General features: G+C 34.6%; 1 protein-coding gene across 11 annotated transcripts in view; it reads left to right on the top strand.

The window, feature by feature from the left end:
* Nucleotides 1–15,274, top strand: part of LRBA (LPS responsive beige-like anchor protein) — a 751,293-nt gene that overhangs the window by 649,419 nt on the left and 86,600 nt on the right. The window lies entirely within an intron of this gene.

The raw sequence follows: 15,274 nt of genomic DNA, 5'->3' as shown, positions 1-15,274 counted from the left end.
ATACAGTTATGTCCTTTATTCAGTTCTCCTAATCTAATAAAGATAGTGATTCTAACTCATATTTTATAGTATTCTAATATGTCTTACCAGCTATCATAGGGGTTGTCTGAAAGGCTTAAAAAAAATCTCAAAACAGCCTTATTCTTTGAGACTGTTTTTTCTTATCAGTTATAGTATTTTAATTTAAAAGCATTTGTCAAATGGTACATTTAAGAGATATTAAAATCACAAAAACAAATAATGTTTGTGCTATACATTTTTTAAAATAAAAAAATCTAATCAATATTTTGAATAGTTTGAGCAGTGTTATTACGTGGAAGTATTTAAGGTATTTTCCAAATATTAACAGAAACGTAGAACCAATCGGGTAGTTACATGAAAATGTTTAAGTAGGAAATAACAGAAATTTTCTCTGTTATTTCTGCATAGTAGTTTGATTTAAGGAAATCAAATAGTTCATGTGTCAAAATATAGAAATTAAAATACATGAAATCACTTTTTTTTTTTTTTTTTTTTTGAGACAGAGTTTCACTCTTGTTACCCAGGCTGGAGTGCAATGGTGGGATCTCAGCTCACCACAACCTCTGTCTCCCTGGTTCAAGAGATTCTCTTGCCTCAGCCTCCTGAGTAGCTGGGATTACAGTCATGCACCACCATGCCCAGCTAATTTTGTATTTTTAGTAGAGATGGGGTTTCTCCATGTTGGTCAGGCTGGTCTCGAACTCTTGACCTCAGGTGATCTGTCCATCTTGACCTCCCAAAATGTTGAGATTACAGGCGTGAGCCACCGTGCCCAGCCTAAAATCACATTTTCATAAGTTGCTAATGTCATGGACGTTTAGAAATTTGCAGAATGAACTCCTATTATTAACTATTCCTAAAATAGTTTTTTTGTTTAATGGATTGGTTATTTATTAAGAGTCTTTGGACTTAGCAACTAATATATTGGTATCATTCTCTGTCTTGCTCTAAAGGCTGTTTATTTTTAAAATATCATAATGAGGCCGGGTGCAGTTGCTCACTCCTGTAATCCCATCTCTTTGGGAGGCCAAGGCAGGCAGATTGCTTGAGTCCAGGAGTTCGAGACCAGCCTGGGCAACATGGTGAAACTCTGTCTCTACAAAACATAAAAAAATTCGCCGGGTGTGGTGGCATGCTTGTAGTCCAGCTACTTGGGAGGCTGAAGCCAGATGATCACTTGAGCTCAGGAGGTCGAGGCTGCAGTGAGCTGTGTTCACACCACTGCACTCCAGCCAGAGTAACAAAGTGACACCCTGTCTCTCTCTTTCTCTCTCTCTCACACACACACACACTTTCTCTCTGTGTGTGTATATATATTATGATATATATTTATGATATACATTTTTATGATATTTTATTATGATATAAAATATTATAGTGAATATATGGTTACATTAATGAAAAAGAGGCCTAGAATATAAATTTCTTATCCAGCTCAATAAATATTTATTGGGCATCTACTATATGCTCAGTTCCAAGAATACAGGTATAATCTATACCTTCTAGGAGCTTACATTCCAGTTAATAAAAGAGAAAAATAAGCTGTAATACAAGTTGAAAGTATTGGTTTTAAAAATGCATGTGTCAAAGCAAAAAACCAGTTGAAAGAACAGTAAAACCTGTAAATAAAGCCTCCAGATCAACATGGCACACCAGATTTAGTATATACTCAGCAATACTTGTTACTAGTATTTCTAAATGATATATGTGAAACCAATGAAAAGTAATCCATGTTATGTAGTGGTTTCATATTTTTAGAGTTTTCATATTGCAGCTTTGGTTCAAAAGGATGTGTTGTGGTTAATATGGCTTTAGGAGTCAGAGAAATCTGGGTTCAGGTCACAACTCTGACATTTACTAGCTGTGACATCAGACAATTTGCTTAAGCATTCTTAGCTTCATTTGTAAAACAGTTTTTAAAAATGTGGTGCTTATAGGATTATTGTAAGGATTAAATAAAATAGTCCATGTAAAACATTTAGCATAAAGCTGGGCACAGCATAAATACTCACTAAATGTTAAATGCTGCTGGTATTGTTATAGTGTGGTGGTGGTTGTTTAGTTGGACAGTGCATTTCCCCCAAGTTGACCTCTAGATGCATTTTCTTTGCATAACATACTGACTTTCTTGAGCTTTTGTCAAGTGTATTAGGGATATCATTTGCATCTGTCTTCTGGACACTATTGAAGAGAAAATAAAACCTTGAAAGATGATACTTTAATATCCACTTCACTTTTTTTTCCTTCCCATGTAATCATTCTACCTCAAATTTGATTGTATGGTTAACAAACTGCAGACAGCTCATTTTGCAGTGGCTAGTAATCACAGAAATTTTTCAAATTTTCTATAACTCTGCCAAACCAGCACTGTATCAACCAAGTAAAGTGGCTATGGTCAATTTCACGCTTCTTAAACAGTGCTTTAAGATCTAGTCCCTCAGCATAGACATTGAATTGCGGTAAATCAGAAGAATTTCTTAAATGCCATTCATTCATTCAACAGACATGTATTAGGGGCCTACTGGATAATTAGATCTGTGATCACAAAATTGGAAGACTGTGACACCTGCCCTTTGGGGCTGCCATTATGAGAAGCAGACAGACATGACAGTAACTAATTAGAGAAATAGATTAAGCGATATAGTCATTCATTCTACAAATATTTTGTGAGTACCTACTACATACTGGTTATACAGCAGTGAGAAAGATGGTATATAGTACCTGCCCTTTTGGAATTTATTGTTTTGTAAGGGAAATAGATAATAAATAAAAAAGTAAACAAATATATAACTTGTGATAACATGTAATATAATAAATATACTTGTATATATACCATGAAGGAGTAGCAAGATTACCATGAAAGCATTTAACATTATGTGTAGAGAGAGACACAAAGAGAGAAAGAGAGAGAATAAATATATATTCTGGGACCAAAAGAGGAAATGCCTTGTTCTGTTTCTGGGGAAGGTTGAGGAAGGCTTAGCCAAGGAACCCATATGTAACCTTAGTCTTTGAGAATGAATAGGGGTTTGCCAGGCAGGGAGTAAGATGATGGAATGGACATTACAGATATAAGAAGCGCTGTGAACAAAGATATCAAGGTTATAGTACTGTACATGAGCTAAACTGTTTTTTGTTTTGTTTTGCTTTGTTTTTTGAGACAAGGTCTCTCTCTGTCACCCAGGCCGGCATACAGTGGCACAATCACACCTCACTGCAGCCTCAACTGCTCAGGCTCAAGTGATCCTCCCACATGAGCCTCCCAAGTAGCTGGGACTACAAGCACTCTACCATGCCTTGCTATTTTTTATTTTTTATTTTTTTGTATTTTCAGTAGAGATGGGGATTCATCATGTTGCCCAGGCTGCCAGGCTGCCAGGCTGATCTCAAGCTGCTGGGTTCAAGTGATCCACCTACCTCAGCCTCCCAGTGTGCTGGGAATACAGGCATGAGCCACTGCATGCAGCCACATGAGCTAAACTTAATTCAGATGGTAGACTGAAGTATGTGTTTGAGAGAACTGTGGGTGGTGTGTATGGAAATATATGGCTGGAGGCAGATTGTACGATAAATCTTTAATGCCTCGTAAATAGTATGGACTTTTTTCTTTGGGGAGGTGGTGGCCAAAAGGAGTTCCTGGACCAGCAGCATCAGTATCACCTGAGATCTTGTTATAAGGGCAAATTCTTGGACTCTGCCCCTGATCTACTGAAACAGAGACTGTGGATTGGAGCCTGTTTTAACAAGTTCTCCAGCTAATTTTGGTGTGTGTTAAAGTTGGAGATCCACTGCTTTAGGGAAAGGAGAAAAGTTTTAAGGAGAGCAGTGACTTGGCTAGGTTTTAGATAGCAGTTCATATGGAGGAGGGATTGAAAAGGGAAATTTTAGAGATAAAGAAACAGTTTGGATACCGATAGAATAACTGAACAAAGAAATCATGAAGCATGAAACCAAAGGTAGTCCCAGTGAAAGGAAAAGAAAGAATGACTTGGGAAGATATTTAGGAGGCTTATTGTCTGATAAAATTTTGTAGGGAGAGGGGAAAGGAGAAGTCAAGATGACTGCCACATTTCTGAATTGGCTGACTAGATGAAGGACCTAGTCCCTCACCAGAAAGACAAGAAAAGGAGCAAGTGTCAGAGGAAATACTATTCATTTGGTTTTTGATATATTAATTTTGAGTTATGTGAAGCACACCAAAAAAAGTAGTGTGATGGGCGAGGCGCGGTGGCTCATGCCTGTAATCCCAGCACTTTGGGAGGCCGAGGCGGGCAGATCATGAGGTCAGGAGATCGAGACCATCCTGGCTAACATGGTGAAACCCCGTCTCTACTAAAAAATACAAAAGATTAGCCAGGCGTGGTGGCGGGTGCCTATAGTCCCAGCTACTCAGGAAACTGAGGCAGGAGAATGGGCATGAACCCGGGAGGCGGAGCTTGCAGTGAGCTGAGATCACGCCACTGCACTCCAGCCTGGGCGACAGAGTGAGACTCCGTCTCAAAAAAAAAAAAAAAAGTAGTATGATGGGCAGTTGGCATTTTGTATTTGAAGCTCCAGAGAGGTAGTAATTGTTGGTTGAAGTAATTGAAGTGTGGCTCATCTAGCCTGGGTTATACCAGAGGCAGAGGGCCTGGGACTGAATCTTGAGGAGAATAAATGCTGAAATGTTAGAGGAAAAAGACCCTATATTAAGAAAATGAATAGGAAAATCAGAAATGTAGAAAGAGAATCTGGAGAGAGAGTGTCAAGCGAGAAGAAGAAAGAGAAACAAACACCATAATGCAGAGGTGAAATGAGAAAAGATGAGCATACACTGGATTCAGACAGTTAGTAATCTTTGCAAAAACATTTTCAGTGGTGTGCCTGTAACAGAAAGAGGAGAAACTAGTTAAGAAGTGAAAGGGAGGTAAGGAAACATAAATAAGAAATGTATTTAACTCTTGCAAGAAGTCTCTATTGTTGACCTCATATTGCATATGTATTCATGGCTACTTAAAAATAATTTTAAAAGACTGACCCTATTAACTAATCATTATTTAATCGAAAATGCAGAAAGAGTCAGACCCAAAATTTTGGGAATCAGAATGTTATTGTAGATGTTAAAAAATCTCTAGGAGTAGACAGAGACTCGTTATCTGCTACTAAAATGAAGTGTCTTTTATGAGTTTTGTGAATACATACACATTACAGATGTCATATATCTGACTTTCAGCAAAGATTATGTCCCCTATACTAAGTTGTGGTCTATGGCTATATGGTAATTCTTAAAGTACATAACTGATAGAGCTGAGTAGCCAAAATTTAAGAACTCTAACTAAGGACCTTTAAGGATGGAAAGTTTATAGATTACAGCATAGTTGGTAGAATTAGCCCTTTTACCTTTATTATTTAGAGGATAGTCATAATGCCGTCTTTCAGATGCTGCCACATTTCCTCAGAGATCTATAAATGGCTGAAGAATATACACTGTAGGACATTATGTCTGTTTCACACTTGAAGATGTTACATTTCTGCTGTCATTTCCTAAGGTGTAGCCATTCTTCACGGCACTGAGAATTGTAATGGCCTCTTCAAAACTGCATTGAAGGTCATTTTAGTCTGGCAGTTACTTCGTACTTTGTAAGGTTTATCTTTATTTTCAGTAAGATAAGGTGTATTTTAAAAGTGTTAAGTATTGTTAACTCCTGCATTCTGTCTTGTATCAAAATCTGGATGCAGATTCAGTATTTGGAACTGAATAAAGCCTCACCGTCCAGTTGATAACCACTAGTCACATGTGGTTGTTGATCACTTGAAATGTGGCTAGTGTGATCAACATGTGCTGTCCATTGTAAGTGTAAAATGTATACCAGATTTCTGAGATTTAATACAAAATAATTTCTATGTTGATTACATGTTGAAATGATATTTTGTATATTCTTGATAAAATATTACCATGTCATTAAAACAGTTTTACTTTTTTTTTTTTTTTACTTTTTAAAATGTGGCTACTATAGGCTGGGCATGGTGACTTAAGCCTGTAATCCCAGCAATTTGGAAGGCCAAGGCAGGAGGATTGCTTGAGCTCAGGAGTTCAAGACTGGCCTGGGCAACACAGCGAGACCCTGTGTCATTTTTTAAAAAAAATTTTTTATAAATTAAAAAAATGTGGCTACTAGAAAATTTTAAATTGCATATCTGGCATGGATATATATCTGTTGGACAAAACTGGTATAAAATCCTTGGGGTGATTTTGTTACACAGAATTTTTTTGGCTTGTGCATTCCACTATTGAACATGAGCATATTTTCTTTTTTTCTTTTTTTTTTGAGACGGAGTCTTGCTCTGTCACCCAGGCTGGAGTACAGTGGTGTGATCTTGGCTCACTGCAACCTCCACCTCCCGGATTCAAGAGATTCTCCTGCCTCAGCCTCCTGAGTAGCTGGGATTACAGATGCGCGCCACCACGCCCAGCTAATTTTTTGTATTTTTAGTAGAGACGGGGTTTCACTGTGTTGGCCAGGCTGGTCTTGAACTCCTAACCTCGTGATCCACCCGCTTCGGCCTCCCAAAGTGCTGGGATTACAGGTGTAACCCACTGCGCCTGGTCAAACATATTTTAATACTTTAATAGTGTACAAACTTCCACTAAAATTCTCAGCCTTAGATCCAAAACAAAGGGTTAATTTCAAGTCTATAAAAGGAAGTCCAAAATATTAATACTAAGTTCAAAACTCAACTAATCTTCTACCATGTAAACAATTTCTCCTCTAGTATGGTTAAGGTTCAAACTGATCACCCAAAATTCCTTTTTCTTCACCCCTCACACTGGTAATCAGTTGCTGTAAGTAATAACTTGTATCTTAAATCTTTCTGAACTCTGTCCCCTCTTCACTCCGGATGCTACTTTCTTGATTAAGGCTCTCACTACCTCTCACTTAGACTATGAAAGTAGTCTTAGAGCTGACCTTTTGCTCCCCTTTCCTTCTTCCAAAGGGATGTCTCATTTCAGTATCCCCAGAGTCTAGCACAAGACCAATAGTAACCACTCAATAAATATTTACTGAATGAATAGATGAGAGAGATGCTAACATTAATAGAAAGTTGCAGAATGTATAATACTTTTAGTCCTATATAATATACAAGTATGCAATCGCATACACAAAGTAAATGCAGATGTAATTTGATTCTCTGGCAGAACTTAATGCTTTATATTCAGCAACTTTTGCTTTTTTTTAATTCAAGTTTTTCTTTATTGGATATTCTTAGGAGTAATGACATAATAAATGTTCTACTTTGCCAAGGATTTTGATTTGCCAGTATAAGTTTATGGCAGTCAGTCCAGGGAATCATTGGTGCCATGCAGACAGCTCCTTGTTTTTGTCTGGAGTCCTCATGGGATTAAACTACATCTGGCAATAAGTAGAGATTCTGGTCTGGCCATCTTCAAAGGCAAGAGACTGCTAGTATTTATCAGATCTATATGGATAAGCAAATGGGAAGGGATTAAATTTTTTTTATTTTGTTTTCCTTCCTTTTGTAACTGACTATATAATATAAAACCTACAGGAGTTCATACAGTAAATTAATACATTTTGTGATGGCTGCTGAAGAGGAAACATTCATTTTTCTATACCTAGGTGGATAATTGACCACTTTAAATTAATATTTTAATTACTTATGTCTATGTTTATAACTAGTTTATCTTAGAAAATATAACAGCAATATAAAGTCCTCAACATTAAGTTTCTAGGGATACTTTACTAATTTTTTAAAGAGTTGAACATCTAGTATACCTGTTTTAAACATTTTAATGTCTATAAATATTACAGCATCATGTTTGGAATTTGGAAGTTTTTGATGCATATTTATCTATGTGAGAAAGTTTACCTTTGAGCCTGTTTTAAGGCAGGCTAGTCTACCTTCCAAGTAATGGTGAGCCTGCCTTTCATACAGGCTGTGTCCTTCTCCTTATACTCTTCACATTCTTAGGAGGTTATTAGTCCTGGGACTCAGTTTACCTGTTATCAAAGCATATTAGCTCTGCATTTAACTAACAAAATAAAATAGCTTAATTCCAGGTACTTGTCATGAAGCACAATCTAGAACCTACCATTCAAAGCCTTTCTAAGAGAAATAATGTTTGTGCAAGATTATCTGAAGAATATGTGGTCTCCCCATTTGTCTATACTTTAAATCTATCTCAGGATTAACTCAGTCCCTCTGAGAGTTACATACCTGGATTCCATCATATTGCCAAGGGAGGAATTTCTTATCTCAGGAATAGAAATAATGTGTTTTTCCAGGCCATCTGGTTTGTTTTTACATTATGGTCATTTTTGTCTCCTGTAATTGTTCGTGTTTCTTTCTTTATGTTGCCTGCTAGAAAGCTTAGCAGCAAATACATGGCTCAGCATATATAGATTTGTTAAAACAAGTATTTGAAATTTCATGGCATAGTTTTTATGTGATATCTCCCTTTAAATTTTGCATTGCCTCACTTCTCTTTTGTATCTTGCTGCATATATATCACTGTAAGCTCTATGAATTATTTTCTGAGCAAAGGCTTGCAAAATGCAAACACATAAAAGAAATAGGTATAATTTTTCCCCATCCATTTTTAATAAACTAAAGGTTTTTTTTAAAAAAAAAAAAAAGCTCAATATCCCTATGTGTGTGATACTATAATTAGTTTAGCATATCTGTATGTTGTGAATTCCTAGATTTTAGATGAAAAGTGACCTAAGGTTGAAATGTTAATTAAATGTTTTAATGTTCTGTAGTTCTAAAGAAAATAGTTGGATAAAATGTCAGTATATAGGAGTATTTTAAACATTTTTTAAAAATCATCTCTCTGTAAAGGAAGGTAATTGTACAAGTTTGTCTAATCCTTTTGATCTTGGCACACAGCAATACAGACTTCAGTTGAGATTAAAACTATGAATTTCAAAGGAAACATGGCCTTCAGTGTATAAAATATATAACAGCTGGTTGACTAGTCCATTTAAAACTACACAATAACAATCGTAGACAGAATGATTCTCCTGCCAAAAGATGCACGAGTGCTTGATAGTTATATCAAGATACGATACTAACTCACACTTTTCTTTAGTAATGATATAAATGTAGAAATGAACTGTGTACTGCTGGCTCAAAATATCTCTTCTGCCCAACAGTTCAAGGGCAGTTTAGAAGTATAGAACCCCTTTTAGTGATTTCTCTATCTGCTTTTCAGGCTGAACTTCAGTATGTTGTTGACTAAATTTCATTTTTTAAAACTGTCTGATACAATTTTTATTCTTAGCATCCCACAGTTTTTTCCCTAAATCTTTGATCCTCCATTTTTACTTTCTTGGGCTTCATGACTTATTGATCTTAATGTCACAATTTCACACATATTTTTAAGCTCTCAAAATTAAACTTTTCTTTGTAAATAGGATAAAGCTTGTTTCACATTATATATATATGTATATTAAGGTAAATAGCTGAACTCTGAAGCATTGTGTTTTATATATAATCAATGTGGAGGAAATTGATGCTCATATTCATGGATTTTAGTTTATTAAATATTTCCATTGTGTTTTACCTGAAGATGTAATCTTTAAATTAGTGAAATTGATGCATTTTTTTTAAATGAGGATTGATGTGAATTTGTCACTTCTGGCAAGTCACATATAGAAAACATATTTGTATTCTGAATTTATATCCAACCAATATGAAAAAATGTTAATTTTCTGTGACCTTTGTTAGAAAATTTTGATACAACATAGTTAACATCAAATTTTCTTTTATTTTCTTTAGATTTATTTCAAATAAGGAAATTTACCTATAGATAAAATTGAAATTTGCTAAAGTAACTCAGATTCACTGCAAATTCAGAGCCAGCATTTAAGGAGTTAATGCATCTTATTAGGGGGACAGGAAATCTGGCAACTATTGCAGAAACTAGACCTAATGGTGCACACAAACAATTTGTCAGTCTTCTTAAATGTGAATAGCTTTCCGCAAAGTGGCTGCTCTTGCTTTGTTTGAACAGGCTAAACTTTTCCTTTTTGGACTTTACATCTTAGAAGTGAAATGTGATCCACATATTCAATCAAAATCATTTAATTCAAAGCATATTTTGATTGGAACAAAGTTGACATGGAAAGAAACTCTAGAATAAAAAAGTTGAAAGGACTTTATATCATATATTTAGCAGGAAAATTTGAAACAGTTCTAATTAGGCTGAAAAAAACAGCTTTCTTCAATGTAAATTACAAAGGTCATATATCAATGTTAAGGAAACATTACCACTAGTGTTTGAAATCCAACACATGCAAACATAACAGACCAGTTCATTTTAAATCTCTGTGTGTATATGTGTTTGTATAGGAAGAAGGCCGTATTACATGGATTTAAAATGAAAAATACTTAAAATTCCAAGTTTATAACTTTGTATATTACCGCCTTGCCAATCTCAATGTCAGTTCCTTTAAAACATACTGTTATCTATGTTCAAATGAATTAAGACTCTTAATTATAAGTACAATTAAAATTTTACAAAATGGATGTTTCATTCATTATAAATACGATTAAATACATCTTATAAGTAAATGTATTTCAAGTCAGGAGGGTTAATCAGTGATTTTCATTTTCTCATTTGAAACTTACAGCTATGGTATTTTGTATCTCAGAACCTTTGTACCTTGGGCCTTCTAGAAGCCTGGGAGTGGAAGTAGTGGTACAGGTGTGCAGAAATGTATTTCTGGGCTGCCTAGGCCTATTCTCTCTGGTTATAAAAAGTGTATAAAGAATATTTGATCTTTTTATTTAACTTTTTATAAAAATCATTTATCCCATAGATATTGCTAGTTTTTATTTAGTTTCTTTTTTTAATGGAGTGGTATGAGAATGTTTAGCCAAAGAATAAGTAAATATTAGCATTAAGCTGGGAATGACAAGTATGAGAAACATAAATAATAAACAAATAAGGTTTCTTGGTCTTGAGGTAAACAATTATCTAATAATTTCCTTTGTTGATTGAAATTGGTTTTCTTGATTTTTACATTGGCAAAAATTTGGTTTTTTGAAAATAAAAGGAAATTGCTAGTGTATCACTAATGCATGTGTAGATTAAATACATAGTTAATGCCTTTTAGTTTAGAATTTTTATTCTCAAATAGCTTAGAGTTTCTTGGAAAAAGCTGTTTCTATATGTTATCACATTTTTTGACTCCACTATAGAAAATAATAATTTTATATAACACTTTTTATAAAGAAATAATCTATTTCTTAAGTGAGTTAGTTTCAGGAAAGCATAGATTGTGTTCTTTCAGTGAGATTTGCTAAACATGCACACAGACACACACATATATATATACACACACACACACATATTGTAATTATTTCTGACACAGGGTTATACAAACCTCCTATTTATGAATAATTTACTATTATCTTTATAATATTAAAACTTTGTTGATATTCTGTATGCAGAACAAACAAATGAAAGTTAGTAATAAGTGTATTTGACATCTGTATACTGTACTTTTTAGCATATCTGAAGTATTTTACTCTGCCTAATAGATCTCATTAAAAAAAACAGATATCAGCGCCAAGACAGTTTGTCAACACTAATATGAGTCCCCCTGGATTGGATTGAACATTCGTGTGAGGCTTCATATGATAGTCTTTTCATAGTCTTATCTGATCCTTAACAATTGGACATTAGTCACTGATTTATTTTATAATAACTCAGATGAGTTGAATATTATTATATTGTGTTGGACATTTTAGTGGATTTTCTTTTTTACAAATATTACTCAGAGCACACATTGGATGTAAGTGATGTATGCAGCCTGCTAGGGGAGTACTAACAATTGATTGGTTAGGTTTGAGAGCAGCATGGGAAGAATGTTACTATCCCCTAGCTGCAAACCGTATTTAACTCCAGGCTTAATGAGGACTGTCGGTTTTGAAGGCTTTGAAAAATCTCAAATGCTCAGCATTCCACTGGCATTTTTCATTTTTTTGTAACTAAAAATGTAGATCTAAATGAGAATTTTCTATATATGAAGAATTTTTTTAAAAAATCTTAATATATAAAAAAGCTATTTTAATATAGGTTTTATGATTTATGTTTTTAAATCTTAAAAATGGGAGTTATAAAAGGCAACCTCAGGGTATTCCATTTTGAATTACATTCTGTTTGTATTTTTTCCCTTAATTTCTTCCTGCCTGTCCTTCTCTCTCCCCTCAAGTCTTAAGTGCATTACCTACTTTTGGTTAGGCAGTTGTCATTCACTGATAGCAAAAGGATGTTAAAGTTCGGAGCTGACTTTGTACTGAAATGACTTTGAAACTTCTTGGAATTCTCTTATACTTACCACTTTGTTCTTTTAGGTCCCTTTTTAAAGCTTTGGTATATTGCAAGACATGCTTGAAGCTGACTAATGGAATTTTTAGTTGAGTGTTTGAGAAATTATTTAAAGTATATTCATGAAGGTAACGTGTTTATCAACTTCTGGAAGTGATTTTGCCAATAGTTCCGCGAATTACTGGTCAACTCCTTAAGGACTGACCTATGACAATGTAAGGTGAGGTCTGAACCATGGCATTGTGGTGATCTCTGCATGTGTGTTTGCAGCATGATATGAGCACACGGTAGCTTTCCTTTCAGCATTTTTGCTTAAAATTCTGATGCAGTATCAAGATGTAAAGCTTTAAGCATCGAAATCTAACCAACTTTACCATTTTGAGTGTGCATAAAGAAGTAGTCAACCGTAAGGAAAATTCAACAGTTCTTTGTTTGGTGACACATAAAATAAAATTGCCCTAGTTTTTAGAGCTTTAATATTGAGAAAATTCATTTGTACTTTGTCATTTGCTGAGCCTTCTAGAATTTTATGGTCTCAAATCACAACACCATGGACACTCAGGAGACTCCTGACTGTTTTATCTTATTAAACAATTTTGAAATCATTAATTTTTAATTAGCTTGGATGCAGGGTTTGTTTATTGTTTCAATAGTGTGTGTATATGAACTACACGTTTTTTATTTAAACTACTGGCAAGAGTACTATTTACATAAATAAGTATAAGTTCTTTCTAAGAGTATATACTGTGAGTATATACTCTTCATAGAGTCATATTTTTTGTAAACTCAGAGATATTATATGCTAATCTATTATAGTAGAGCTTTTCGGCAGTTTATGAACTCAGATTTCGAACAGCCACCAAAAAGGATGTAAGCCTGAAGATATGCATAGGTCCTTCCCTGATTGAAAGTTCTAATTAAGTGAATTGGAGAAAATTAACTGAAATTAGCTGTCAGAAAGTCACATTTAAATGAGTGATGAGCTAGTCTGGCAGTAAACATTTAAATGATATAAATTGCCATTTAAGTGTATGGTTTAATGTTTGTCATGCATTAATGTGACATGAGACTGCAGTGACAATCAAGCAGCTTGCTCTAATTTGAACATATTTAGGGCTTTTGTGTAGAGTGCACTGCACACAAATTAAGACAATTGCTGTTTTTATGTGTCATTGTAAATGTGCCTACCCCATACCCCCATCCCTACCCAAGGTCTAAGTTAATGAAACCAACGTATCATTTCTGTGTGTAACTTGCATTAGTAGTTCCTAGATTTTTTTCAAATTTATGTACTTAAAATAGGCATTTACTTAAAGTTATCACAAGCTCCTCTCTTCTTATTTCAAGTAAAATATGAAGCAGTTTTGTGCTGTCATATCTGTTTAATAAATTTGTAAATGTAAAGCATTTTAGAAGAGATGTCTAAAACAATAACTTTCTCAATTGAACCTAGCTAAGTATTTTTAAGGCATATTTCATTTAAAGTATACTTTGGGATGTGAGAATTGCATAGAGTTTTGTTTACAAAATTATATTTTCAATTTTATATTTGTGATATATCATAAAGCTATGTTAAATATTAAAGGAAATTTTTTTTGTATTTAGCTATAAACATTTCTTTTTCATAGGCACTTATTTTAATAAAGCGTATCTTTACACAAGTGTCCACATGTAAAGGAATAGGAACGTCTTTTGTCACAAGATGGTTTATGTCTCATTGGTTACTTGCTATACAAGTTGGTCAGTTTTGTTTTAAAACCAACAGATCTCTTATAACATAGCAGCAAGCCATACTGAAAATACATCACAATCATAGACTTACTACTCTAAAAATAAAAATCAATTTCAATGAGATACATTACCAGATATAAGTTGGTACAGCAGTCTCCTCCTTATCCACAGTTTTGCTTTCCAGAATTCCAGTTACCTGTGTTTAACCAAGGTCTGAAAATGTGTGAGTACAGTACAATCAGATACTTTGAGATAGAGACAGAGACCATATTTACATAACATTTATTATGGTTTTTCTTTACAGTATATCATTGTTCAATTTTGTTGTTATTGTTGTTTATCTCTTACTGTGCCTAATTTATAAATTAAACTTTATCATAGGTATTTATGTATAGGAAAAAACATAGTACATATAGGTATAGGGTTTGGTACTATTCACAGATTCAGGCATCTACTGGGGGTCTTCGAAGAACATACCCCTGTGGATGAGGGGGGATTACTGTATAGTTTTTTTGTTTTGTTTTGTTTTTTGAGACGGAGTCTCACTCTGTCACCCAGGCTGGAGTGCAGTGGCGCGATCTCGGCTCACTGCAAGCTCCACCTCCTGGGTTCATGCCATTCTCCTGCCTCAGCCTCCCGGGTAGCTGGGACTACAGGCGCCCGCCACCACGCCCGGCTAATTTTTTGTATTTTTAGTAGAGACAGGGTTTCACTGTGTTAGCCAGGATGGTCTCGATCTCCTGACCTCGTGATCCGCCCACCTCAGCCTCCCAAAGTGCTGGGATTACAGGCATGAACCACCGTGCCCGGCCTACTGTATACTTTTAATTAAGCTTTAGAGTTTATGTTTGAAAACTCTTTGATTTTAATATAATTATTTATCGTTAAACTAATCCATAATGCTAAACTTTGATGTTGGAATGATTTTGAACAATATTAAATAATATAAAGATGGATAGTTTCCTAAAAAATATCTTTAGTTTTTAAAAGTCTTTAGTATTTATAACGTTATTAAATTCACCAAACATTATTGGCATCTATTATGTTTTAGGCACAACGCTTGTAGCTGGGAATATAATGATGGATAGGAAATGGATCTTGTGCCTAGCATCTCAACCAAATACTTGATTGTGTTCATTCGTTATTTATTGGACACTATTATGTTAATAGCATCAAATATTTGGT

The sequence above is a fragment of the Homo sapiens genome, chromosome 4 (genome assembly GCF_000001405.40).
Source record: "Homo sapiens chromosome 4, GRCh38.p14 Primary Assembly".
Classification (NCBI taxonomy): Eukaryota; Metazoa; Chordata; class Mammalia; order Primates; family Hominidae; genus Homo; species Homo sapiens.
The sequence above is the reverse complement of the archived record's forward strand: the minus strand, read 5'-3'. Positions and strand labels throughout refer to the sequence as shown.